The 27946-nt window shown below is 48.5% G+C and overlaps 1 protein-coding gene and 1 long non-coding RNA gene across 22 annotated transcripts in view, besides 1 other annotated feature; one reads left to right on the top strand and one right to left on the bottom strand.

Moving 5' to 3' along the window:
* GRIK4 (glutamate ionotropic receptor kainate type subunit 4) overlaps positions 1 to 27946 on the bottom strand; it is a 477159-nt gene that overhangs the window by 94087 nt on the left and 355126 nt on the right. For 16 of the 21 annotated variants that reach the window (NM_014619.5, NM_001440404.1, NM_001440403.1 and 13 more), the window contains 2 exons: positions 20602 to 20754; positions 19577 to 19681 (listed from right to left, as the gene is read on the bottom strand). In NM_014619.5, the coding sequence (NP_055434.2) occupies positions 19577 to 19681; positions 20602 to 20754 (258 nt within the window). Of the gene's footprint in view, positions 1 to 19576; positions 19682 to 20601; positions 20755 to 26834; positions 27878 to 27946 lie in introns of those variants that run through there. The other 5 variants (NM_001440413.1, NM_001440411.1, NM_001440412.1 and 2 more) reach the window with 1 other exon arrangement.
* LOC101929227 (uncharacterized) lies at positions 23 to 26887 on the top strand. The gene is made up of 2 exons (NR_132790.1): positions 23 to 503; positions 21055 to 26887. It is a non-coding gene; the product is annotated as an uncharacterized LOC101929227 (long non-coding RNA).
* Positions 19544 to 20743: an enhancer, noted in NCBI's record as "CDK7 strongly-dependent group 2 enhancer chr11:120744786-120745985 (GRCh37/hg19 assembly coordinates)". NCBI's record gives its function as "activates an origin of replication core promoter dependent on BRD2, BRD4, P300/CBP, MED14 and CDK7 cofactors, with strong dependence on CDK7, by STARR-seq in HCT116 cells {active_cell/tissue: HCT116}" and the evidence as "EXISTENCE:reporter gene assay evidence [ECO:0000049][PMID:35650434]".

Below are 27946 nucleotides of genomic sequence, written 5' to 3'. Positions count from 1 at the left end.
CACACACGTGCCAGGAGTGGGCAGGAGACATAGCTCTTTCATCACTGACAATCTGTGGCTCTGCCTCCGGCCAAATCCCTTTGCTCCACCCTGCTGACACCTGCCCCCCAAACCTCCTGTAGGAACAGCTGTTTTGTAAGCCGCTTCCACATGCCCACATGTGCAGGCTTGATTTTGCTTCAAATAATGTCTCTCCTTGGCTCCCTCTATACTTTCTGTCTCTCTCACTTGCTCTGCCTTTCCACTGTTTAGAGGCCCCAGGGGTTGCAGTGAAGGAGGAGAAGGTATGGATTTGGACAGGGCCGCTGCTAGCCTACAAACAGCATCTTAATGCAGATAAGAAAAAAGCACCCCTCTGGGCTGATGTGGCCCTGCCACTGCACCCTGGGAATGCAGAGTTCGAGCTGGACTTCATCCTTGGGTGTTGCACAACCAGAACCAGCAACGCAAAGTTGGACAGGAGTTTAACCCGGCTTCTCTGCTGATGAGCTACGTGAACTTGGGTAAGTTACCGAATCCCTCTGAGCCTGTTTCCCCCATCTATAAAATGGGGATTAAAATAGTAATTATTACCTCATAGGGGTTCTTAAGATTAAGGGAGATGGTGTATGTGCAAGGTACTGTGTCAACCCTTATTAGTTTTTAATACCATTGCCCAAGGCAGAAGGTGGGATCTCCTGTGTGCTCTGTGAAAGGCTTCACACTATGGGCTTTAGTTGATTAGGCAGATTAGGACGGTGTCTCAAAGTATAGTTCCCAGACCAACAGTATCAGCATTAGAAATGCAAATTCTCTTCTTCTCTGAGATGGACATTTGAAAAACAAAATTAAAACTGAAAACAAATGCAAATTCTTGGGCCCTACCCCAGAATGACTAAATCAGAAATTCTAGAGCCGAGCAAAAAGACCAACTCAGACGACAAACAGGATGACAGAGAAAGGTTAGGGTGCAGAGATTAACAGTGCTTCAGTGCCCGCCCATGCTCAGTTAGGAAATGTTTACAAACTGGCTCTCCTGGGGGGAAAAAAAAAGACCCTCATGTGTAGCATTTGCCAATTTCTGTGGTGTAAACACACCCGCTATGGCTGATTTAAAGCTGCCAACATGATGTCACCAAGCACAGAGCTGGGAACGGATGTGTACAACGGACTCTTGCAGGCTGGGGCAAGCCAGCTCTAGCACATGACTGGTGCCCGCCATACTCACAGGGGCTCTGTGCTGGGCATTAGAAGGTGATGCATACTAATCCCATTCCCACCCCCACTGTATTCATAAGGAAAGCAGGGTCCAGATAAGTTAATAATTTACCTAACTCGCAGAGCTGGTGAGTAGAAAAAATAGGATTCCAGACAAGGCCAATGGCTGCTTAATTGGTTCCACAATATTTAAAACAAATGTATAGTCCTTCTACCTACAGATTCTTAATGCCATTACAAGAAACATTTTATGATAGGACTGCTTAGTCAAATATTAAAATTTAGGTAAATATAACCGATATGGGATGTGTTTGCACGTACATAGAATGTATCATTTACCCAACATCCCCAAGGGACACAGGTGGATATAAATTAATAATGATCTTGCTCCTGAGGCATTAAAATTTGGGAGAGTTTAATTATTTATTCAAAACCATTGTTTCCAAAACTCCTTTCTAAAGGAATTATTATGTTCCTCTGTCCTCTTGAACAGGGAGCCTGTCTACCTTAATATGCAGTGTTATCATTACGAAGCCAGTTATTACACTGTGCCTTGATACAGTGCTACCCTTGGGGTTACTGAAATGTGGAGGGCCACTGCCTGCAGTTCTGCGCTTTTATACGTTAATTTGTCTGCTTTCTCGTAGTGTCTGTTTCTTTTCTCACTGTGAGCCATCACTTCTTGCTCCTATTACGACTGCTGTCTCTGAGCCTCTGTCTTTCTAGGACCCCTGGGTAGAGCAGCCAGGGACCAAGCTTGAAAGAATTTTAAGGAGAGCCTAGACAAGGGGGCTGATAGGGCCACAGGGTTGTAGTGAATGGTTCCGTGGCATCAGTAGGGGCTACCCATAGTCCTTTGGAAAGGAGATGACTGTACAACTGAATGAGTGTCAGGGACTTGGATTTGGTCTGTCGTGTGACCCCAGGTCAATATAAGCAAGCTGGTCACTTCTGCGGCAATGCACTGCAGAAAGTCCTGCACCCAGGGGCCAGGACCACAGGGGTCCTCTGGGGCTTCCTGACAGAGGCTGCAGTGTGTCACCTGGCATCAGGAGACCCCCATTAGTACCTGGCACTATGACCACAGGTGGGTGACCCTGAGCAAGTCAGTTAATTTCCTCGAGCCTCACCCCTCCCCAGCCTCCACCCTAATCAAAATCCCCACTGATCTTGCCTGGGACTAGAATTCACTCTGGGCCTCCCTGTTCTGTTCTTCACACAGCAGCAGCCAGTCGTCACTACCAAATCTCACATACACGCCAGTCCCTGCTTAAAACCCTTCAATTCTTTCCCATGTTGGCTTAAGGATAGAGACCAAAACTCTTACTATGGCCTGCAAAGCCCCATGAGGTCTGTCCTTTGCCCACTCTCCATCCTCTTCTCATGCTCTTCGGTCCAGCTTTACCTGTGCTGCAGCCACACCTACCTTCCTCCCGCGTTCAAGTGCAACAGGCTCCTTCCCGCCACAGCCTTTGCACATGCCATTCCCTGTCTGGAACTCTCCTTGCCACATGAACCCCTGCCCCCCAGCCCCTTTCAGCTAGTTTAGGAGTTGGCAAGCCCGGGACTGCAGGTGGAATGCAGCCCACTCCCTATTTTCTGAAATAAAGTTTTATTGGAACGTAGCCTCGCCCATTCATTCGTGCACTGTGACTGCTTTCATCTACAAAAGCTGATTTGCTCAGAGCCATGTGACCTGCAAAGTCTAAATATTTATCACGTGGACCTTCATAGAAAAAAATTTGCTGAATCTTGATCTACTTTACATCTGTTAATCCCCTCAGGCTTCAGCTCAAAGGTCCCTTCCTCCAGGAAGCCTTTCCTTGCTAATCCCTCAAAGTCGGACTCCTCCCAGAACCACGTTCTTTTCCTTCCAAACATTCATCGATGTGACCATTGCTTACCGCCTATCTTTCTTACTAGATAATAAGCTTCATGAGAGTAGGGATCATGGCCAGCTTTGACTGCCCTTTTATCCCTAGAGCCTGGCACAGTGCCTAGCTTATCACAGATGCTCAATAAAATCGAGTTAAGTGAATGCACCAGGAACATTGCCTGTAGAATCTCATTTAACCTTCAGCCTATCTTTAAGAGGGAGTTATTTTTGTACTCATTTTACAGATTTTAAACGTCCTGAATCTTAGCAAGTTTAGGTCATGAATGTCCCCAAAGTCACATGCTGCTAAGTACCAAGATGGGGATGTAAACCCATGCTTTCTGCATCCCCAAAGCATGTGCTCCTAACCACTGTGCTATTCTGTTTCAGAGTCAAGACAGCGATGGGAACGGGCATAGCACAGTGCCTGGTGTGTAAGCAGGGATGAAATGAACTTTGCCAAGTCCTTTCCCCTCTCTGTGGCTCAGATTCCTTCCAGGCTGCAGTCAGTGAGCCCTCAGGCCCTTTCCTATAGACCAGTCCTGGAGGCCCACAGGCTCACCTGGGTGTCATCCCTGGAACTTGCACGCCCTGCCGCTGAGGGGGAGCCCTGGCAATCCTGCCTGCTCACAGCTCTCACTCCTGCCTAGAATCACACAGGGCTGTCATTTTGCCACTTTGTTCCCTCTCAAGTAGGTAAAAAGAGATTCATTTTTAAAGCCTCGAGGGATTTCCTCACATCTTTGCCTGCATCTGTGGGTGTGCACGCAGCACTATAACATTTCATATTTTATGTACATTTAGATGATTGTTCTTTGCACTCAGCAGTGCCAGGATCCAGCTTCTTCTAGGGAGGCCACCGTAACCCCAAGGCAGGGTAAGTCCTTCGGCTTCAGACTCAGGTTTTGCAAACACTTATTGATCACCTTTGCATTCTGGGCACTCAGCCATGTGCTCTGCTTACGTAAATCTCCTTGATTCTGCACAACAACCTTGTTATTATTCCCACCTGAGAAATGTAGGCTTAATGGAGGTACTTCAGACAACAATAATAATGCTTAATGTAGGCACTTTCATACACCTTTCTGTTGAATAAATGAATGAATGAATGAAAGTGAGACTCAGAGATATCAAGCAACTTGCTGAGGGTCACACAGTTAATAGGAGATTAAACTGAGATTGGAACTTAGGTTCTATTTATTACTATACCATCTGGTTGAGTTAGGACAGGTGTATCTTGTCTTGACCTTAAGGCCTGGGCCTTCTCAATTCCTCTCTGATCATCATGAACTTGTTTACTAAATATAGTCCTGAAGGGAGTCACTTCAAAGAGGCCATATGAGTGATCCTGGCCAGGGCCCAGAGTGGTTGCTTAGGAGCTAGCTTGGCACAAGGGGATTCAGGGGGTACAAGAGGACCCACATTTTTTTTCCTCCTCTCCCATGCATAAGCTGTATGAGCTGGGGTAAGGCATTTAACCTCTCTGAACCTTCTCCATCTGGAAATAAATGAACCTGCCTACCCATAGTACAGCGTTGTTGTTGTTGATAAGCAACTGAGATAATGTACGTGATGGCCTTTGACAAGCCACAATAAGCCATGGGAACATAAGATAATGGTACCATTTAACGGTACCATTGTATATTTGGTGGGAATGCAGCCGGCCAGAAGTCAGGAGATTTGGGTTCAAGTTCCACCCTCCAACTTACTACATGGTCTTGGGAAGTTGATTTTGCTACCTATAAGATAAAAATAGCTCCCCTTCCCTTCTCCCCTTATTAGGGTGATCTGAGGCAATTACAGATGTGACAAAAGTTTCAAGGCCTATTCAAATGCAAGCTCTGACTGGGTGCAGTGACTCACGCCTCTAATCCCAGCACTTTGGTAGGCCAAGGCAGGCGGATTACCTGAGGTCAGGAGTTCAAGACCAGCCTGACCAACATGGTGAAACCCTGTCTCTACTAAAAACAGAAAATTAATCAGGAGTAGTGGCACATGCCTGTAATCATAACTACTCCGGAGGCTGAGGCAGGAGAATCACTGGAACCCAGGAGTCAGAGGTTGCAGTGAGCTGAGATCATACCATTGCACTCCAGCCTGGCCAACAAGAGTAAAACTCCATCTCATAAAAAAAAAAAAAAAAAAAAAAAAAAAAAATGTAAGCTCTTTCTATTTTATTCTATTTCAGATCCTTGTTCTCCAGGGACATCCAAAGTCAGATGAACCATAACCAATGACTCTTTTTTTTTTACTCTCAGGTTCAGGGTACTAAGTTGAAGTTCTTACTAGGAAAGATGCATATTAATAATGTATTTGTGGCTTCTTGAGTGCACAGAAGTGATTCTGACATATGGGCAGGAAAAGTGACATTCAGGTGAAAACACTATGGCCAGGGATCCCAGGAATAAACTGAGATTGTTAGAGTTTCAAAGTCTCTTATATTATATAGATCTGTATTTGAAATAAAACCAACTAAAAAGGTTTGTAATATTAGCCTCCGTGGTGAACACCTTGGCACGAGGGAGTAAACGCTTACTGCATTTAAATCTAATATCTCCAATCATAAAAGTTTCATTCACAGAGGAGACTGAGTCATGAGTAAGCAAGAGCCCAACCGAGTCCTGGAGTGGGTGATCTGGGGAACAAAGGGAGATGCTGAAGTTGGCCAAAGGCTGCATTCTAGTAGCAGAGGGAACCATCAAATACATGCTTGTGCAGAATAATGCTGAAAATTCAGGATCAAAAGAAAGCAATGGTAAATGCCAAGGGTAAGAGATCAAAAACAAGTCCAGGGAAGGCTGGGAACTCTAACTGGGCTTTATTAAGCCTGCAACTCAGTTGGTCCAAGGCAGTATTTTGTTAAACTGTGGGTTGCAACCCATTAGTGGGTTATGAAATCAATTCAGTGGGTCAAGACATGCATTTTAAAAAGCAAATCTATACCTAGAATAGATCAGGGTGTAATGCACATAGCAGGGGTACCTTGTTTCACAAGCTTTGGTTTCAGTTACATATAGATGGATGTTTATGTGCATCCTGACTTGCAACCCAAATGTAAGTCAGGCTCAAGAAGTGTACAAGTGCCTGGCATAAGAGATCTGGACACTCTATCTGTTCACTACTCTATCATCAGACCTTAGCTGAGTACCTGGAACATAACTGGTTCTCAATAAATATATTCTTTTGCATCAATGAACTCCTAGTCCTGGTCACTTGTTATAACTGAAGGACTAACTACAGTATAAGAAAATTATACAAGCTAAGACTTTTGAACACTTACCATATGCCAAGTACTGGACTAAAGGCTTTATATTTGTCATCTCATCTAATCTTCCCAACCACATCACAAGGGAAATACTGCCATCATCCTTGTTTTACAGATAAGAAAACTGAGGCTCTGAGAGGTTGGGTTTCTTGCCCAAAGCTCCATAGTTAATGCAGATTCAAACCCAGGCAGGTCTGTTATGCTACTAGATAGATATAGATACTAATACTAATAGATATTAATTCTATTGGGTTGGGACTATACAGTTAAACATTTAGTAAACATTCGAATCCTTATCCTTTATCCATTGGCATTTGCCACAAGCGTTCCTGCCTGAGACCCCATATCCTTGAAGGTGGCCTTTGCTATCCCTTGTCTTTGATTCTGAGTTACATATTTAGAAGAGGATACGTAAATAAAGCTTGAGGAAGGGGAGGCTAGGCGGCAGAGAAATAAGCAGAGTGGGAGTTCTGGCTTCCCAACCAGCTCTGCCATCCACCACAACCGCCTCTGGGTGGTCCCACTCAGGCTCCTCACACTCCCCTTCACCTGGGGTTTCCCAGTCACCCACCAAGCTTCAGCCTGAATGTCACCCCTCAGGGAGGCCCCTCCCAGTCTTTTGTCTCCATCAAGACCCACATCACAGACTTGTGCATAGTGCCCTGAACTACTGCTTTGTAGCACTCATCACGTTTGTAATCATATAGTTATTTAGGTAATTATTTGTTTCACGCCCCTCTCCTGTACCAGAGTGAAGAGACTCTGTCTTGTTCACTATCATATGCCCAATACCTAGCATGAAATTGGCACTTACTACATATTGGCTGGATGCGTGAATAAATTCCCGTTTGTGGCCCCAGCTTCCAGGGCAGTGCCTGGCCTATACAGGGTACTCAGTAAATATCTGTTGAATTGAATTACAAAGTTCTTTTGGGCAAGTCATTTCTTTTTATCTTTAGTTATCTTACCTATAAAAGAAGGATACAGGCTTGCCCCTTCCAGCTCAAACAGGAATTCCTGAAAATGCTGGGTTTATTTATAAAGTGATGTAAATTTGCAGAGTGGCTTGGGGCAGAGCCTGAGAGAGATGGGCTTATTCTTTTTTACTTTTGTGAGTGTCAGCAACTCTTGTCTGAGCAGTTTCCTGAGCAGGCAACCCCAGAAGGTCTCAGACAGGTGACGGTAGGAGGCCACGGGCAGCACTGCTTCCCTGGCATGAAGGTGAGGCAGGTGGCCACTGATGTGAGGGATACAAGGAAGGCTCCTCTCCAATCTGCCACAAAACAGCCCTCTCTGAGCTGAACGAAATGAAGGTAGAAACAGGAAGGGTGGAATAGATGTGTGAACCCAAGAAACACAACTAAGGAAAAAGGAAAGAGGCTTTAGAAAGGAAGATTTCTGCCCAATAGATAGAAGAACTTTCCAAGAATGAGAGCTTTCCAAGATGGAATATACTGTTCCTGTAGGTGATGAGTTCCTTGACACTGGAGGCATTCAAACAGACTCTATGATGATCCATTTGCAAGAATCCAAGCAGCCAATTAGAGTGCTGGTCTAGAAGCCCTTTAGTATTCTTTTTGACCGCAGGAATATAAGATCTGGATTCTACTTCTGCATCAGGGGAACCAGGAGAAAGGCAGGACATCAACAGGAGATGAAGTCCTTGCTCTTTGTGAGAAAACAGGAGAGCAGGAGTACGGGGCAGTGAACGCAGAGAAAGGGCCACTGTAGGAAAACTTCAGCTACTCATACATTTGCTCATTCCTGGTCTTCTCTCTTGGCTGAAACTCACTACAGGTGATTCCATTATTCGTGGTAGTTCTGTTCTATAAAGTTGCCACAAACACTGAATTAGGGAATACCGAACCATTTTTGTTCCTATGGGAAATACAGGGCTAGGTTCCTGTGAGCCTCTGGTCATGGTGCTTTCTTCAATCAATCAATCACTTTGTTTTACATGTGTTGCTGTTTGCAGGCACCTCGCTTAATATATGCTGTTGATGCGTTAACATTAAACAACAGCACGCTCACTCAGCCAGAATGCAGCTTACCTAACACACATGCTTTCTCTGGAAGGCATATCACTGGTTCTTGTAGGTAGGAACACGAGATAGCACTTCAGCACTATGCTTAGGGGTCATTTTAAACAGAAACATTACCAAGAAAAAGCACAAAAATAGACAAGATGTGACATGAAGTGGACTGTGAGAAGGACACTTGTTTACAGTATGAGAGCTGAAACAAGAAGACACGGTGCAGCCTTGTTCAGCCTCAGCTGGGAACGTGCACATCAGTGATTCCAATTTTTTGCTGCTCTGTACATGTCTGCAAAAGCACTGTATTGATTTGGGGGTTACAAATAGATTTTAGCAAGTAGTTGAATTTGCAAACATGGAATCCACAAATAATGAGGATCAACCGTACTTGTCTGCTCTCGAATGTGTAGCTTGTGCCAAGACCTGCCCAGACTTCCATCCCTAATCCCCAACGTCTGGCATAAGAAGCAGAATTTGGTCTAGCCCTCACCACTCCTCTTGCCAAAGAGAATAAAACCACATTGGCTGTTCTCAGAGATTCCAGTGACGGCGAAAATAATAGGGCAGGAGTGGAGCTCAGTCCACCCTAGTCAGCTCTGACTAAAAATGCCACCCCTGTATGATGCTTGTATGAACTTAATAGACTTCCCACCTAGCTCATGGTTTCTGAAGTTAAATTTTCAGAGACGAGCTGTGAGGATGCTCAGATCTCCTTTCTTTTCGGACAGAAGTACTAAGTGATTTTAAGAATTTCTGTTGCTGGCCAGGCGTGGTGGCTCATGCCTGTAATCCCAGCACTTTGGGAGGCCGAGGCGGGCAGGTGACCTGAGGTCAGGAGTTCGAGATCAGCCTGACCAACATGGCAAAACCCCATCTCTACTAAAATACAAAAATTAGCCAGCCGTGGTGGTAGGCGCCTGTAATCTCAGCTACTTAGGAGCTTGAGACAAGAGAATCGCTTGAACCCAGGAAGTGCAGGTTGCAGTGAGCCAAGATTGTGCCATTGCACTCCAGCCTGGGCAATAAGAGTGAAACTCCATCTCAGAAAAAAAAAAAAAAGAAGAATTTATGTTGCCTACACCCCAACTTCCTCTTCTTTTCTTGCATAGTTGAAAATCTCACAGACTCACTTCTAAACATTTTTGGGGATGATCAAATTGGCCTTCCTCAAATTGCCGTGTGCGGAGTGCATGGCAGGATCAGTCAACACGAGGACTCATCTGCATACCCCTCTCTCACCTCCAGGAAGCTAGAAGGTGTTTTGAATTAGCTGCCGAGGAAAGAATTTATCAGAGAGCTCAGGCATGCTGGAGATTTACTGCCAAAGAACATGACACAGGCAGGCCATGCCTGGCTTCATTTGTTAAACGCACCAGGTGGAGAAGTACCTTGGGAAAGCTGGTTGTATTAATAACACAACTTTGCGCTCTGAGTGGCAGATGCCAATTGAACTCACGGTTTTAATGAAGCACCCGGGTGGAAGGAAGCCGGTTACTTGCCGTCCTTCTGGAACTCAGGACACTGAAGTCAGTAGCATGCTGGAGGGCAGGGGAGGATGCAACTTCTGAGCTTTCTGCGATGGCCTGAGCATGGCCCGGCTCTGCCCCTAGCTGGAAGCTGGCTCACAGCAGGCAGCTAGCATGTGCCCGGGCCTTGCAGCGCTCTGGCTGGATGGGGAAATTTTAGTTTTGAGGGTGTCGGCAGCTCTTGTCTGAGCAGCGCTCTGTCGGGCAGGCCTTTGGGGTGCTGGGATTCTCATAGGAGTGGGACCATAGCTTCTGCTTCCCTCAGCTTCACACAAAACCAGAGCCACTGCCAAGTGGAACCAGTGAGGCTGCCACATTAGAGAGTGGAAAAAGGAGGGGTCAGGGGTGGAGGAAGGAGAGAGGCAGGAGAGGGAGAGGCTGTGGGGAGGCCATCCTGAAGCCCTGAGTGGCCAGCCTGGTACAGCTGGTGTGCACCCCGCCTGGCTGGCATGGGCCGGTCTTTGCGTGGTTACAGCCAGAGTGACCTGGCCCTGGGCGTCTCGCTCACCCCCGTTTTGTTCTTCTCTCTGCCCTGAGCCAGCCTAGAAGCGAGACTCCGGGAATACGGCACACAAAGATAGACAGATACATAGATAGTCATCTCTGGGTGAGATGACAGAACTAAAATTTGCAAATATAGTAGAATCCTCAAAGCACAGCTATAAACAATGTTTCATTTTGCTCTCACAATAATTTTATGATGCACATAAAGCAGATATGATGATGATCACCATCCCTGCTTGACTGAGGAGGAAATTGAGAAACAGAATGCTAGAACAGAAACTGGGAGAGCTGGGACTCTTCCCTGAGCCTTTGACCATGAAGCCTTATGCCCTTCCCAGTGCCCCACGCTGCCTGCTGCTGCATGTGGCTCCCTCACCTCCCTGGATCCACCTTTGTTCTTTCCCCAGGCCTGCCTGCCTGCAAACCCCACACCTCTGGCCGGTGGCCTGGCCCACCTCCCATCAGAGCTGACTGACGCAGGCTGCTTCCTGAGACCGAATTAGCAGGTCCGCCTCTTCCAGCTCTTCCAGGCATGAGCTGGCTGAAGAGGCACGGAAAAGAGTCACTGGGAACTGGCAAACTTCCCCAGACTGATCTCAGGCAGAAGCGTGATGGGGCACATTATAAGAAATACATTTAAAATGCAGCACTTTAAAACCCTGCTCTTCTGCCCAAAAGCAGCCCCCAGCTTGAAAATTTAAGTAGCTCTAATTTGTTTGCCGGCTGATGTGTGAATAAGCTTCTGCAGTCAGTGAATTTTCCATCAAAGCTGATAAGCAGGAAGTCCCTGTGCTTTGGGAGAAAGAACCAGACTTACATGGGCCAGGAAGGCAGGAGAGAAAACACCCTTCAGGTTACATCCTGCCAAAGCCAGCTCATCTGCCCCTTGACCGTTGTCCCTGGGGTGGACAGGAGAGCCTGATTCACTCACAGGAGAAAGTATTTCAGAGCCTTTTAGTGAAGTAGGGGAGCACTGTTCTTGGAGGATGGAAAGGAATGGAAAGGGGAAAGATATCAGTGATTGGAGGGGCCTTCTGCTTCAATTTTCAAATTCCAGTTGTCAGCGGGGAGGTTTGTCATAGGAAATCTCTCTTGAACAACTTGGTGAACAGTAGCTTTAGAGAACTCTCATGACAAAATCCTCAGGTCCCCAGGGCTCTGGTGTCCCTGTTGGCTATGAGCTCCTTAGGCCCGGACAGCACATCTGTGTGCCCCCTGCACACCTCCCCGGGGCCCAGGGAGGTGGGCTGTGCACACACCAGTCCCTCGTTCGCTCCGTATTCGCTCTCCAAGCCTGCACTGAGCACCACTCTCAGCTGGCTCAGGGAGCCCCCAGCACTGAATAATAGTGTGAAAAGGCTACAGTAGAGGGAGCACATAAACGGAGCACTGGACCGGTGCTTGCAGGAGCTGGGGATTAGGGAAGCCTCACTGAGCTGAGTTTTGGAGACGTGAGTAGGAGTAGCCAGGTGAGAAATGGGAGTGGGTACGGGTGCACTGGCAAGGGCATGCGAGAGAGCCTGGCATGCCTGACCATCACAGCATCTGGTATTGCTGGGGCAGAGCCTCAGAAGGGCCAGTGCAGACGAGGGGACTCAAAGGTATGCAGCACCCAGCACCTGTCATCCTGAAAGCAAATGGGGGCCGCCAAGGGGTTTTAAGCCCAGGAATGATACTCTCACTGATGTGTTCTCTGGTAGGAAAGATGGACTCGCTGACCTCCAACTCTTAAGAATTTTTGACATTCTATGAGATGTTGTCAACTATTTTAAACCTCATTCCAATTCCCCTTAATTAAAAAGAAGAAATAAGTGACTTCTCAGTAACCTTCAAAGCAGCCCCCCAGCCACCCATCTCTTTTTCTGCTCCCTCCACCCGGATCTGCCGTCTCGAAGTTTCCTCATCAAAGGCAAAGTCACTCCCACTGGTTCTGGGGGAAATCGCCTGTCAAGCAGCCTCCTCAGCTGGCCCACGGAGGTCTGTTCCCCAGACGGAGAGCTGGCACTCAAGGCTGCTGATTCCCAGCAATCAAACCTGGCTCCAGCACTCTGAGCCAGGCTCCGGCAGAAGCAGCTTCAAAGGATCTGCATATTTATGGTAAATTCCTTCCTCAAATTGAAAATGTATTAGACAGTAGCAATCACAGTACTCTCAGAGCTGCCTTCCCCCTCCCACCCCCCTCAACCTGTCTGAGCCTTAATAGCCCTTCTCCTTAGCACAGGAGGGGCTGGAGCTATGATGGGGTCAGCTCATAGTAAGAGGGGCTGGGGTCAAGGGCACAGATGCCGGGGGTACCTCTCCATGGAGAGCATGAAATGCCCCTCACTATTCTTCCATGCCATGTGAAGGCAATGTCAGTGCAGAATGTCATCTGACAGGCAGGGCGCTTTGATGGTTTTCTGTTGTTCTAGGTTTGTTTGCTTTTGAAATGGAGGAAGGGCCTAGATATGGGGACAGGAGTGGCTCCCACCAGAGAAGCAGGTCTGCTAAAATTCCCACCAGAGCAACAGAAGCTATTTTCCAGAGTTCTCAGCTGCACAGGGCCACGATAAGAAATGCAGCTGCCTTTACATGACTCAGGAGTGCAGCAAAGCAAGTTCCACTGCTGCCAACGCAGGAGGATCCCAACTCCCCCGGAAAGGGGGCAGAGCTGCCTCTGTGTGGGCTTGTGTCAGGCAAGATGGCAGGAGAGGAGATTAAAGAGAGGCAGCCTGACCTCCTAGCAAAAGGTGGGACCTGCAGGAATTTCAAGGAGTTGGGTTGAATTCTCTGAGCCTTCTAAAGATGACACTGGATCCCTGAGTTCTTGGTTCGCAAGGGTGACTCAGGAAAGCCATCTCATCCATCCTCCTCCTTGGGTTAGAACTCAAATCATTCCAGAGAGCCAGCCCCTTGAAAGCTGGGTTGATATAAGCTTTGGAAAACAAAAGTCTGGCTGTCAGCTCACAAGGCTTATTACTGGCCCTCTCCTCATTGCCTGGCCAGTTTCTCCAGCTCTGTAGGAGCAGAGTGAAATAAATCCATGGTCTAAGGAAAGTGTGGCTCAGGTCTAATTTCTAGAAAAGTTCACATGAAAAGAAACCTGTGTACCTGGTGGGAGAAAGGCAAGTGGAATAATTAATTGATCCCAAGGCCCAGAGTTCAGAATGAATAAAAAAATTGGAAAACAAATTCCAGCAAGCAAGCTAATGTGGCAAATAGAAATTTGGCGTTCAGTTTGAGGAAATTCATAATCCTCCAGTGCTCTCAGCTCTGTGCTGTTCAGCCCCATCTGGAGTGTGGTGTTCAATCTGGGCCTTGTGTTTTAATAGACAACCTAGACGAACTGAAAAGCACTAGTGGTGAGAGATGTGGCAGCCACGTCATGTTGGGAACCGCTGCCTGAGAAAGGAAAAAATGGAAGAGCATGACAATACCAGCCCTGTACAGTAAGACCTGGCTGCAGTTTTTGCCTTCCCCAAAAGATTATGAGCTCTTGAGGGAACCATGATTCATGAATCTTACATTCCCGGCCCCTGACACAGAGAAGGTGCTCAAAAATTCTATGCTAAATTCAGGCATGAAAGAGTAAGTGAATGAAGTAAAATCAAACTTTTAAAAAATATTTGAAGAGCTGGTAAGAAAGAGGAAGCAGACTATTCCTATTATGGCAGAATTAGGAGGCAGATTTTGACCCAGTGCCTGGAAGTATTTGGAATGTGTCCCTTGAGAGGCAGTGAATTCCTCAGCCCAGGACATGCTCAAGGAGAGGCTGGGCGGTCATCTCTTTCAGGGGAACAATGGAGAAACGTTCTTACACTGGGTTGGAGGAATCCATGAAAGGCTTGAAGGTCCCTTCCAACATGGGCTGGGACAACTCTGCATAGTGGAAAGACCTTGGACTTTGAAGGCAGACCCAGTCCTGCCTTGTACTTGTACTTGGACTTGTACTCAGACCCAGTTCTTCAATCTGGCACTTACTGGCTGTATGAATGTAGATACATGACTTCTTCTCTCTCTGTGTCTCAATTCCTTCACCTACAAGCTGACAGAATAGCTCTCCTGCAGGGTTGACGAAATGATGAAAAATTTTAAATACATACTTACACCACTCAGCACAGCACATCATGTAGGTGACAACAAATGTTAGCTACTATGTCAGTAGAGCCGGCTTTCTATGTAACCACAGGCAAGGACAAGACTGTGCCATGCAATTCTAGTTTGGATAATTCTTGGGTTCACCCAGGTCAAACGCTGGGAGGTTACGACCTCCATTGCTCAGAGAAATGAAACTGAGGTATCCACGTAGTGATACACAGTGAGCCAACAGAAAAAGTTTAGATCTGCATCTTTAACTAGGAATAGCAAACCTCAAAGGCTTAATTAGAGCCTGTCAAGCCATTTCCAATCCTCAGATGAAAGATACGCTCATCTTATTACAGCACTAACAAAGTTGCTTGGGGGCTGCTCAGAATCTCTGATCTTTAGACCAAGTTAAACGAAGGATATTAAGGGCCTTATGATGTTGTGCTTCCTTCTTTCCCAGCCTCTTCCAAAGATTTCTCCCAAATCAGGAAGGGAGACTATACTTTCCTAATACTGTCCAGGCCATCTTCCGTGTCATGAAAAGGGAGGATATGAGATGGACAGCAGAGATCTCGCATGTGCAAAAACTGGAGGGTGGAGCTGAAACAATACTGTCAACTTCTATGCCCATAAGCCAATAACTGGGCGATGGTCCAGGTTCAGAAATGTCACTGACAGGGCACAACAGGGAATTGTCCCTGACCCTGCAATCTCCAGTAGAAGCTCCACAAGGTCAGTCCCAAGACTGAAAACCCTCTCCGAACAGAATCAAAATAGTCATTTTTAAAATAGTAGAAAACAATCCTGAGTTCTGATAGACTATTTTTAAAATGGTAATAATCCTTTAATCAGCCACCGGCAGAGAATGTGGTATTTGGTTCAGACGTTTTACCAATTGCAACCCAGCAGGTCGCTGCGTGGGGCTTTCTAAACAATCAAAACCAGCTTTAAATAGTCACTCATCCAGACAGGAAGAGAGAGAATGAAACCAAGCCCCAATGAGAAGATGCCATTCTTAAGGAACGCCCAGCCCAGCTGGTCATGAGGACCCAGGCACTGTCCTGGTTTGCAGCAGGTGGCAGCAGACCAACAGACCTGGCTGAAGGGGTTTGATTTGGGGTTTTAGGGATTCCAGGAAAGTGAGGAATAGCCAGGAGTGGGGGATCCGAGAGCACGGGCTTTGCCATTGGACAAGCCTGAGCATAAATTCCAGCTCTGTCTGAAGTCCTTGCTAATAGCGGGACCAAGTTCCTTCCGCTCCCTGAGCTCCCATATTCTTATTGGTGAAATGGGAATTTATCTGCCTTGAAGGGCTGTCGTCAAGATTGGAAGTGATTTGTGCAAAGTGCGCATGTGGTGTCTGGTATGCAAAAAGTACTCAAAAGATGTTATTTCCCCTGTTCCTTGTCACTTTCTCCTCCCCTGCCCAGCATCACCTTGAATGGAATTGGGAGAATATTTGCGCAGAGATATTGACATTCCTTCCACCTGGAAGAGAGGCCCAATTAATTATCACTCCCTAAACCATTTCTTCATCTTGTAATAAGCAGGGGAAGGACACCTGTCAAGAGGCAAAGATCGGGCGGTGATTGGGATGGGACCTGGGGACCAAAGCTGCGAAGCTACATCTGTGTCCCTGATACATCACGCACAGTTTTTGCTTGGTACTCACAGCACCTAAACCAGACAGGGAAGCAGCAGGACACTCACTAGATTTGTTGAAAAAAGGGGGGGGGGCGGGGCATAAAGAGAATGATCACCATCCACTTCACAAGTCCAATCAAGAGTATGTGTCCCTTAGAGTAGCCGAAGGTCAAAGCACATCCTCTTTAATGGTCACTTCTGAAGCAGATTCCATCCAACACTGGCTCAAAAAGATGGGGGTAGGATGTGGAGAGGTCAAGAAAAAAATCTCTGTGAAGAGGCTGCAGTTCACGAACACTCTTCTACTAGGACAGTATTTGTCAAAGGGTAGTCTGTGGACCACCTGCACTGTAATCATCTATCTCGGAGCTGGTTAAAATTATGCGGATTCCTGGAATACATCCAGTTTTACTAAACTGGAATTCATAGCTGTGAGGCCTGGGAATGTCCAACTTTTATGAAGCACTCTCGGTCATCCTGGTGCACGTCTACATTTGAGAAGCCTGTCCTGCCCGCTTATGTGTGCTGCTGCCAAAGAAACTGCAGCCGCTGTGGAGGATGCCTCAGGGCACGGTCCCTTGCTGGCCTGGGTTGGGGGCTGAAGGATGAGCCCTGGGGGCTGATGACGCTGTTTCTTAATGACTCAGGCAGTCCTCTGGCCTCAGGGCTAGCACAAGCTAGCCTGAGCAGCGGCTGCTGGAGAAGCAGAATAAAGGTGAAGAGGTACTTGGAGCCTAATCAGCTGTCCTTCAAGTGGAGAGTGGGATCAGGGCTACCAGCCAGCTCTGCCACTGCAGGTGTCTCTTGATGGAGGGTGCTGGAAGTGGGCTCTTTCCCCAGAGCACTCACAAAGCAGGACTGAGGTCTAAGGGGAGTGTTTCAAAGTCTGGGATCAGGCTTTCTGTGGAGTGAGCATCATGTTCTCCTAACTGTTCCTCCGCTGTAATCATCTCCACCCCCTTCTCCTTTCCCCGTTTTCTTTTTCCACTTACCACTCCTGACACTATGTCACATATATATTTGTTTGCCCACTGCCTGTCCCCTACTAGAATACAGGCTCCACAAAAGCAGCCACTTTCTCCATCTTAAAAAACTTATACCTAGAAGACAGTCTGGCACATAATAGGCAATCAACAAAGATGTCTTGAAAGAATGAATGAATGTTCTTCACTTCACATCCCTCAAGCACATTGGGGCTCAGAGAAAAGTCTGCCTGACAATTTCTCCACAGGCTGGCAGCTTCACCTATTCAGGGAATTAGGAGCCTGAGGGCACGATCTGAGTGTAATAACCCACATTTGCACTTACGGTTTTCTATGTCAGGCTCCCTGGACAGACCATGAGCACTCTCTCTGTGCAGGGGCTGAATCTTTTTCAGCTTCCTTTCCCCCAGGCCCAGCATGGTACCTGATACACAGTGCATGCTCAATATATGACTTGTTAGATGAATAAAATGACCATTTTGTGAAATGCCATCCCCGAAATTTCTGGCTGCCTACCTAACCCTGCTCTCATTTGAGAAATTATACAAAATGGTAGCTGTTATTGCTTACAGACAATGCAGCTCTGCCCCAGAGATACGAGGCCTTTCTGAGAGTCAGCAGCAGGACTCTGGGCTCCTCTCTGTCTGAGACTCTTTCCTTTTACTGCCTCGTCTTCCAAGAAGGGTGACCTGGCCTCAGGGCCCAGCATAATTACGATCTCCTAGAAAGAACTCCACTGGACTCTAAGGAGGGCTGATCGGAGCCTCTCAGATGCTGGGACCCAGAAGCAGGAGGCAGACATGACAGGGCCTCCACGGCCGTAGGGCTTCATTAGAATCACCTTGGGTGCTTGACAACTGCATCAGTTCCCGGGGCCTGTCATAGGCCTACCCAACTAGACTCTTGTGAGGTAGAGTTTAAAAATCTGTGTTTTTATTGCATTTCCAAGGTGATTCTGATGCATAATTTGTTGTAATGGTTAAGAACTTAGACTTTAGAGGTAGATCTCTCTGGGTCCAAAACCAGCTCTGTCATTACTGTTTGTTCAAGGATAAGTCAGTCAGTCACCCTGAGCCTCAGTTTCTTCAAGTATAAAATTGGGACTAATAAAAAGTATCTATTTTGTAGGGTTAAAAGAGAAAATATATATGACACACTTAACATGGTATAAGGCTCATGGTAAAAGCTTAATAAATGGAGGCTGCTATGATGATGACAATCGCAGTGGTAGTGATGATGATGTTGGTGGTGGTGATGATAATGATGACAATGGTGGTGGTGGTGATGACAGTGGTGGTGATAATGATGACAATGGTGGTTGTGATGATGAGGCTGGTGGTGGTGGTGATGGTAGTGGTAGTGATGAGGGTGGTGGTGGTGATAGTGGTGGTAGTGATAATGGTGGTAGTGGTTTTGTGGTTGTGGTGGTGGTGATGATGGTGGTAGTGGTGGTGGTGATGGTGGTGGTAATGGTGGTGGTGGTGGTAGTAATCGTGGTGGTGGTGATGATGATGATGGTGGTGGTTGTAGTGGTGATGATGATGGTGGGGGTGGTGATGATGATGGTGGTGGTGGTGATGATGACAGTGATGGTGGTGGTGATGATGATGATGATTCTTCATAATCTCCTGGAAAAGGTGATTGTGCAACCCTTCAGTGGTGTGCTCCCTTGTTCAGCCACTCTGACAGTCAGGAAGCTTTTCAATGTACCCACTTCTTGCTGTATTTAGTGCTTGGCTTCCTACTTACCAGCCTTTTCTAAGGCTGCAGAAGGGTCAGCCAAATAATAGGGAGTTGAATATTAGGGTGATGGCGAGGGTGGGAGATCTTCAAGAGACACTTCAAAAGTCAGATCCCTTTCAGATCTCTGTTTCTTCTGATGGAGGAAGATCTCAGAAAAGGGGAAAAAGGGTAATGGCGGAGAATGAGCAAAGGAGTGGGGAGCTGAAAGGAACTATGAAGGACAAGGCATCCCTGCAATGATGGAGCAGGCAGGGAGCGGCCAGGAGAGGAGCTGTGTCATTGGCATGGGGGTGGGAGCTGTGGGTTGGTCAGAGAAGGGCAGACAGGAGAGACCCAGCCATGCACTGCAACACTGAAGGGTTTCCTTGGCCCACATGTGATACAGTCTCTGCCTTGCCAGCAGGCTCCCTGGAGTCTAAATGGGCTCCAGGATTAGGGTCAGACTCATGGAGTAAAATCCTCCCTGGGAATTCCCCCCCTTACATGACACACCCTTGCCTCCCCTTTCACCCCAGTTCTCTCCTTCTTAGTATTTTGCTGGGGGTGCAGTCCCTGAGCCACAATGGCTGATCTGGTGGCAGGAAGGGAGAGGCTGGTGCAGGTCAGGAGCCTTGCCCAGGATCCAGCCTGCTGCTGTTGGGGATAACTGGGAGCAGGAGGCCATCCAAAACACCGAGGCATCAATGAAATGGAACAGAGAGGAGGACCTGCCATCACCACGGTGCAGCTAGGCTTACCTGCCGAAAACCATTCCTTGTGAACTGTAAGATTTTCAAAGCGTAGTTGGACCTCTGGCCTTTGCTGTTGAATTCAATGTGGCCGGTAAGACCTTCCAATTCTACCTGTCCAAGAGAGAGTGAGTTACAGCACCAAACAGGCCCCAGGTTACACTTGCCCCCAAGCAAGATTTCTACACAGGGGCTATTTAAGGATGCCCAGAAGAGGCAAAGCAGTTAAGATCCTTCTCCTGCCCACACACAGCCAAGGCATCTTGAGATGACAAATGTGATGTCTGTGGAGACAATTCAGACTTGGCTTGGCCTGGAGTAGGAGAAGAATGCTCCCCCAATAACCCCATACCAACTGCAAAAACCAACCCAGTCATGGTGCTAACTTGAGCTCAGATTCCCCTCAGCCCCTCCTCCAGGCCCTTGGCTGTCCACAGCATTCATCCTCTCCGGGCAGGCACTCACCCACCCCCAGGTCCACAGGAAGTCAGGATGACTCTCCACCTAACTCTAAATGCAAAGTCCAAGACACTGTGCTGCAGCAGGCTTCTCTGACAGAAGTCTTCTGTGTAGGGTAGAGATCCTCATTCACCCACCAGAGGAAGCATGGCTGGGGAGGACAACAATGGGAAACCCAGCCAAGCTAGAAGTCTTGAGCCTGCAACTCCCAGAGGGATGCCAGTCTCCAGCAGCACCACCCTTTCCCAGCTGTGTGGAGCTTTGCTGAGAACACCGCTGAGCAGAGAGGCCAGGTGCTAAGTCTGGAATTCAGGGGCCCACTAATAGTGTAAGGCTCGAGGGCTGTTGCCTTCTGAACAAACTTCCATGAATTCTCAGTGGTTATTGGGGTTTAGGGAACAAATGTGGCTCATGATCCATTCAACTGGGGTCACCAGAGATCACTGATTTATCTGGGGCTGTAATAACAGACACATTTCGAGCAAGCCTGGAGTTGAGGGACTCTTGTACCTTGAACCAAGTGTCCCACCCCACTAGCCTGGGCACAGCCCTGCAGGGCCTCAGCCGCTCCTCACCATGCGCAGGTAGTTCATGAGGCTGGTGCCGTGCTGCCAGATCTGGGCCGAGCCGCAGGACAAGGGCTTCACGCCGATCTCTTGGCTCCGGTTCAGTTCCTGCACCGCAGTCACCACAGCATAGACAGCATCAAACAGCAGGGCCGAGGAGAGCTGGGAGAGGCCGGGGAGCAGGCGGAGGGAGGGAGTGAGAGGTGTAGAGGAAGAAAGGGAGGGGAGGGAGAAAATAAGAGGAATGGAGGAAGAAAAGAGAAAGCAAAAGAAAGGGAAATAAGAGTGCATCTTCATCACCCTTGGCCCACGTCCTGTCTCTGGGCCAGCTCTACTTCATCTAATAGTCAGGTGTTCACCCAAGACACACAATGGTGGCAAAGGATTCTCTGGGATTGAAGCCTTGTGCTGGCCCTTTGGGCCCCACATGACTTCAAGTGTACCCTTTTCTCTCTGCTCCAGGGAAACAAGCAACTGCCACTGCTACCAGGAATCCTGAAGAAGAGGGCACGGCTGCTTATGTCAAGAAGAGAAAGGAACCTGGCCACTGCCCCCCTATCTGCCCATTCTATAAGGCTCAGTTGAAGGTCACTTCCTCCTACAAGACCCCACGATATTGTTTCTTCCTAAATGTGCCTAATATTAGTCCACTTTGTACTGTACAACTTGATGAGTAGGTATGAAGCACATGGTAAGTTCAAAGCCCAAAGATGAGTAGGAGCCTATTCCTGTGATTACAGCAGGATGGGGAAGGGAGGTATGAGGAGACAGGGCACAAACAAGAGGAACATGAGACAGAGTGTGGTAGGTCCACAAAGGTCTTCCTGGGGAGGGTTCCAAAGAGGGAAACATCTGGTTGGGCAATCAAGAAAGTCTTTCATGGAGGATGCTGCATTGGAACTGAGCACTGAAGGATGGGGAGTCGCTGAGAAGAGGGAAAGGCATTCCAGAGCGTGGAACTGCAGGAACAAAGACTAGAAAGTGGAGAGTTGGACCACTCCTAGAAGGAGAGGAGGGCAGAGGAGGGGCGGGGCTGGAGGAAGCAATCCATCACTCACATGGCAGGGGTCCTGCCATGCGGGGCCTGAAAGTCAGGGAAGAGGTCAGCATAGTTGTGTGCCCACATTTTCATCTTCCCTATTAAAATGCAAGCTTCTCAGGGCAGGGAACACACAGGACCTTAATCTCTATATTCTGCACAGCATCTGTCATGGGGCCTGTCGTGTGGCTGGCCCCTAAGACATTTGCTTGACTTGAATTAACTTCTGGCTGAAATTTGCCCACTACCCAATAAGTGGATACAATGTTTGCAGCCTGTGGGGAGGGGAAAGCTGGGTATCTTGGTGGAGGTGGTAGGAGTGGAAAGACAGAAGACACCTGTCCTTGAGGAACGTGCCATCTAAGGAGGAGATAATACCACACTATGTTAATGTATGCGGGGTCCCTGGCAAAAAACAAACAAACAAACAAACAAACAAAACCCTAGCAAGTGCAATTGACTATACACTCAGTACTGTGCCAAGGCCCTGAGGGGGTCCAGGAAGGCAGGTGGAGGCCTCCTGGGAGGAGTGGTGTTACAGGGCTAGAAGTCCACACAGAGTCCCATTACAAGGCAAGTTCCTTCACTGAAACACGACATTCCATCACTGGCGACTCAACATTGCCCCTTCCGAGCCTCCTCTTTCAACTGATGGCATCCTTGTGAGGGTCCCACATGAGACCCTTGTGAGAGCACCCTTGTGAGACCACCATTCCAGGGGACCAACTGCTTACAGCCTGCCTCCCTCCTAGCCAGCCCTGGGACACCGGCCCCTCCACGGTTGGATGGAGGGATGCTGTCTCGGGGTTTTTCAAGCTCTCCAGGCAGAGTGTAAGCAGTGTGAGACAGTGAGGTGTCGAGGAAAGAGCTTAAAAGCATGAACACCAAGTCCAGAGTCCAGATCCCAGCCCCTCACTATGTGCTGAGTGATCCCAGGCATGTGAATCCCTCCAAGTGAGCAACAATTTCTGTTACCTGTAAAAGAGAAGCAGCAGTCCCTGCCTCACAAGTCTGTAAAAGTGCTCTGCAAACTGCCAGCGTCAGAAGACAGCATTCCTGAGGGCAGGGGCTGTGCCCCCTCAGGTCCAGACAGATGTTAGCAGGTGCTCAGGAAGCCGGTGTTGACTGAACTAAGTAAGGCTCCAGGGAGTGGTAAGGACAGGGGGCTACAGGCAGGGTGGATGGGCTTATTTCCTACCCAGTTTTGCTACATGTTGGGCCAGGAGGCCTATGAGGGGAACTGGGTGAGCCAGCTCTGGATAATCTCTTTAAAAGGCAATTACAGAGCAAAACAGTCAACAAAGTTTGTCTGTTCCAGTCCAAGTTCACCCGCATCACAAAACTACCTGGCTGGTGTATGCTTTCTTCCTCCCTCTCTCTCTCCCTCCCTCTCTTGCTGCTGCTTCTCCTCCTTGCCTTGCTTCTTTGCTTTATTCCCACTTTTATTCAGCCACTACCATCTGGCAGGTACCATAGACCTCAACACCTTCCCACTCTCCACAGAGATACTGGATCAGGCCACTGCCCTCGGCCTCCGTCGAGTCTCCTGCCTCCCCTGCTCCAACTCCCTTCCTGTCTGTCCCTTGGTCCCAGAGCCTCCTGGAACCCGAAGACTAAGCAACAAAGGACACCCAATTCTCACCATGGGGAACAGTGCACACCTCTGCAGTCTTGCTGAGCTAGGATGAGGTGGGCTGAGCCACCACACTCCCGAGTCCCTCCATCCATCATCTTCTACTCTCTCTTCTCTGCTTCCCTGCTCTTCCCCTTTGCCCTCAGCTCCTTCTTCATTTGATTCGCCCTGCATGGTAATGAATGCTCCTTTGCAAGCCTACAACCGTCCTTGTCCTTCCATGTAACTCGCTTTCCCCTGAGCACATGTGGCTCTTTTATTAATGGGCCTCTCACATGCCACAGACTAATGCTGCAGATTCTCCCTTTCCGGCTTAGACAAATTGACAGCAAGTTAGCTGCCCCAACTGAAACTGGCTTCTAGATCCTTCTGTTTGGCTATTTAAATGATGCTATAAACCAATTTCTGTCCCACCTTCTCCCTTGCCTCCCAGTTAATCTCACCATTCTCAGATTCCCAAAATCGTGGAGTGATTGAGCTGGAAGAAATTCTAGAAGACAACTCATCCGGCCGGGCGCAGTGGCTCATGCCTGTAATCCCAACCCTTTGGGAGGCCGAGGCAGGTGGATCACTTTGAGGTCAGAGGTTCGAGACCACCCTTGCCAACACGGTGAAACCCCATCTCTAGTATAAATACAAAAATCAACTGGGTGTGGTTGTGTGCGCCTGTAATCCCAGCTACTCGGGAGGCTGAGGCAGGAGAATCGCTTGAACCTGGGAGGCGGCGGCTGCAGTGAGCCAAGATTGCACCACTGCACTCCAGCCTGGGCAACAGAGTAAGACTCCATCTCAGAAAACAAACAAACAAAACCAAAAAAAAAAAAAACCACTCATCTGTCTTCTTTCACGAATGAAGAAACTGAGGCACAAGGCATTCTTCTCTTGCCCAAGGTCACAAAGCAAGGCCTGGAGGCCCAGTACCCTTTGTCCAGACTGGCTTCCTCCCCTCTCCACAGCACTGTCTTCCACCTCCCTCCCTCCGAGAAGCCTAGGTTGTCATTGCTCTATCAGATTTATTCTTATGCCTCATCTCCCAGGACAACTTGGGGCAATCTTTCATTGTTGCCTTCTCTGCAGCAGATGGGAGCATGGGACTCTGGCACCGGGGTGGGGGCAGGAAGGGATGGTGGGCAGGCTTCTCTAATGCCCTATGTTGGGGCCATCACCCAGTTTGCCTCCTGGAAAGACTGGTTGTTTGTCCTCACGTTAGCCCCTCAGTTAACAGCCATTAGCCATTGGCTGCCTACCTAGCACCCATTCTCCCCTTCTTCCTCCCATTTGATTTAGGTATCCTTCCCTGTCCCAAACTGTAAGGAGCTTCAGAGGAGGCTGAGTCAGCCCCAGGTCCCAGGGAATCCTGGGTGGTCCAAGGTCCCCATGCCAATATGTGATTTGGGACAGTGTGAGTGACCCCACTGAAACAATGAGCCATGAACTGAGGCCTGGAATGAGGGGCTTGCTTCTCAGGAAAGTTTCCTGTCTCCTAAAAGGACGCTCCTCTCTCCTCTGGACATGTCTGTGTCTGGTTGGGATGCTTGGACTGCTGCAGCCAGCCCAGCTCCAGCCTGAGCATGAAGCTGTAACCAAGTGGGGACACAGCAGAGATGGAAAAGATTTGGCCTCCAACCTCACCACTCCGGAATCTTGCTAAGCCACGCAATAACACATTTCCGTTTTCTCACAAGACGTTTTGATACAGGGTTTCTGTTGCCGAGAGTACTCTGGTACCAAGGCCCTGGGGATCCCTTTCCTCTCAGAGGCATTGTTGCACCAGTCCCCAGTGTCTACAGGCCCCCTCCCCAGGCCCCCTCTTCCTCCAGTGAGGCTGTGTGCTGGTCCCCAAGAGACCGTCATCACGGCAGATTTGCAGAGGAAGCACCACGCCATTTCTCACATCCTCCCACCAGGCCCCCAGCTGGTTCCTGCCACACGGTTGCCACTATTCCCACTCCGTCTGGGACATGGTTTTCTTGGCTGATGCTCTCTTATTAGCACATGATGTGGATGCTGAGATCCGTGCATGCCTGTTGGCAATGTTCTTTGGCATCTCTAATTCCATGGCCTTCAAGATTCTTCGAGTGCTTCTAGTACTAATGCCAGCTAGGGATGCTGGGCACAGGGAGCAGGTAGAAGGAAAATCCTCAAGGTTGTGGTCTCCTCTCCACCTGTGTGTGGCCTTCAGAGGGGTGAAACCACTGACGTGTCCCCCGTAGGCTCTGGGCTTCACAGTTCCTCTCTGTGGTTCAGCCTGGGCTGGTCAGAGCTGACCCTTTCTAAACCCCAAACGTCTTCTCCCCCGCTGCAGTCTCCTCGGGTTCCTCCACCCATCACCAGGCACTGTCTTCTGCAGGCTCCTGCCAATCTGCCCACGCTTCTCACCTGGATCCTTCAAACTGCTCTGAGAATTCACCTCCCAACCCTTGTGCCTGCAGCTCTCTCCTCACAGTCACCAATCTCCTGCCCTCACCGAATTTCTCCTCTGATGGCGTGCGAGCCTGTCATCTCTCTGCCTCATCAATTTTTCCACCTTGTTTCAGATCTCCATCCCAAAGCATCTTTCTCCCTCTCCTAATTGTTTTTTCCCTCCGCTATTACTTACTCATTTAGCTCTGGAAAGCATTTGGGGCTACAGTCAGGGAGAAGCAGTTTCTGTTACAAAAGCCCTCCTGGCCGGACACAGTGGCTCACGCCTATAATAATCTCAGCACTTTGGGAAGCCGAGGCGAGCAGATCACGAGGTCAGGAGATCGAGACCATCCTGGCCAACACGGTGAAACCCCATCTCTACTAAAAATACAAAAAAAAAAATAGCTGGGCATGGTGGCACATGCCTGTACTCCCAGCTACTTGGGAGGCTGAGGCAGGAGAATTGCTTGAACCCAGGAGGCAGAGGTTGCAGTGAGCCGAGATTGTGCCACTGCACTCCAGCCTGGGCGAGCAAGACTCCGTCTCAAAAAAAAAAAGCCCTCCATCCATGTCTCCACTTCTGGGCTCATCAGGGGAAGGAGGCACCGCCCCCCCCCCCATTTCCACCCCTTCTCTGCTCTCTCAATACATTTCCTTTTCCTTTCTGTCTTTCCATGGCCTCTACTCCTCATCTGTGTGTGCACGCCTCTCGCTTTTGTCTCTGCTTCTCCTGTCCCTGTCTCTTCTAAATATTAAATACCCCAAATGGCTCAATCCTCATTTAAAATCCTCTCCTCTTTCTTGGCCCCAAAACGTTGCTTGGCAATGAACCCTCGATTCTCTTGTTTTTATATTTTCATTTGGTTCTTCATTGTTATTTTCTTTTGAGCTGTTTGCAAATTGTTTAGGGGAATGCAAGGCTCTGTATAAATTAAGATGAATCAGTTCTGACTCAGGGAGCTGTGGCTGAGTTCCTTCCCCCTCCCATGACATGAAAATAAGAATATCTCCTACATACACACCTGTAACCCTCATCTCTCTCCATGCCCCAGATGACGGGATTCCCAGGATCCTCCCAGATGCCCATTTGTCTCTGAACTTCTGCAGCTTAAACTCTACCCCCCAATATAATACCAGGACAGGAACCATTAAAATCCCATGGAATAGTTCTTACAATCTGGATTTTATTCAATGAAATAAACACTTAATTACAAACATCTGCTTTAGCCTAAATTCTAATTACTTAATCTAGCCATCTGTAATTTTAATGATTTTCCAGGATTTTTGTTCTTTGCAGCGTGATTAATGGGAACGGCGTGTGAAGCTAGCGGGTGTGTGTCTCCATTTGCGACATCCCTTCTTCTGCTTGCATTGTCTCAGGTAGAAGCACATTTGCATCTCCTGTCGGCCACCTGGCAGGTATGGCCTGGGGGCATGGACTGATCTTGCTTTCCTGGTTACCTCTCAGTTCAGCCACTCCTCTCTCAGTGCCCTTAGAACGGGGCTCCCTCTCCAGAAAGCTCCACTTAGAATGCCGAAGGCCCGACCCGGAAGGTGAGGAAGAGCGGCAGACCCTTACCCAAGTCAGGAGAAAAAGGCAATGGAGAGAAGAAAGTGCCAAGAGTGAAGAAAGAGCAGGGAACATCGTGTGGAGAGAGAGAAACAGAAAAGAAGGTTACGGAGAAAAGGGTAAAGAAGGGGAGAAGAGGGAGAGAAAGAGAGAACGTCCCCATGAGGCTGGAGCTGCAGCTTTTGTAGAACGCTTGATGGTGGGGACAGAACCAGGCTTTTTTCCTGGAACTGACTCCCTCTCGCCTTCCAGCTACCCAGAACATAAAAGAGCTGGGCTGTTTGTGCTGTGAATTTCTCAGCCCCCAAAGAGACAGGAAGAGGCACCACTTTTCAAAAGCTGGTTGCTAAAGTGAGAAGCCTTGAGAGAGGTGTGTTGCTATTGTCGCTGCCGTGAGCTTCCTTTCCACACGCTGAGGTGAGAGAGTCCGCAACACCTTCCCTTCCCTCTCGGAGGCCACAGAGACAGTAGCTGGAAGGTTCTCTGGCACTGGGAGACAGATGTACGTTCTACTCCAGGTTATATTGGAGTGCTGACCTCAGAGGACCCTTGATGTGCCATCCAGCACGTCCGTGCCTCAGTTTCCCCACTTGTCCAAAAGGGCTACATGACCACTCTTAACTGTTACGAGGATGCCCTGAGAAGGAAAATAGGAGAAGGCAGGATAATTTCATGGGAAGGGCTACAGGAGTCTTCAGCTCTGTGC

The sequence above is a fragment of the Homo sapiens genome, chromosome 11 (assembly GCF_000001405.40).
Source record: "Homo sapiens chromosome 11, GRCh38.p14 Primary Assembly".
NCBI lineage: Eukaryota > Metazoa > Chordata > Mammalia > Primates > Hominidae > Homo > Homo sapiens.
This window is presented reverse-complemented; position numbering and strand designations above follow the sequence as displayed.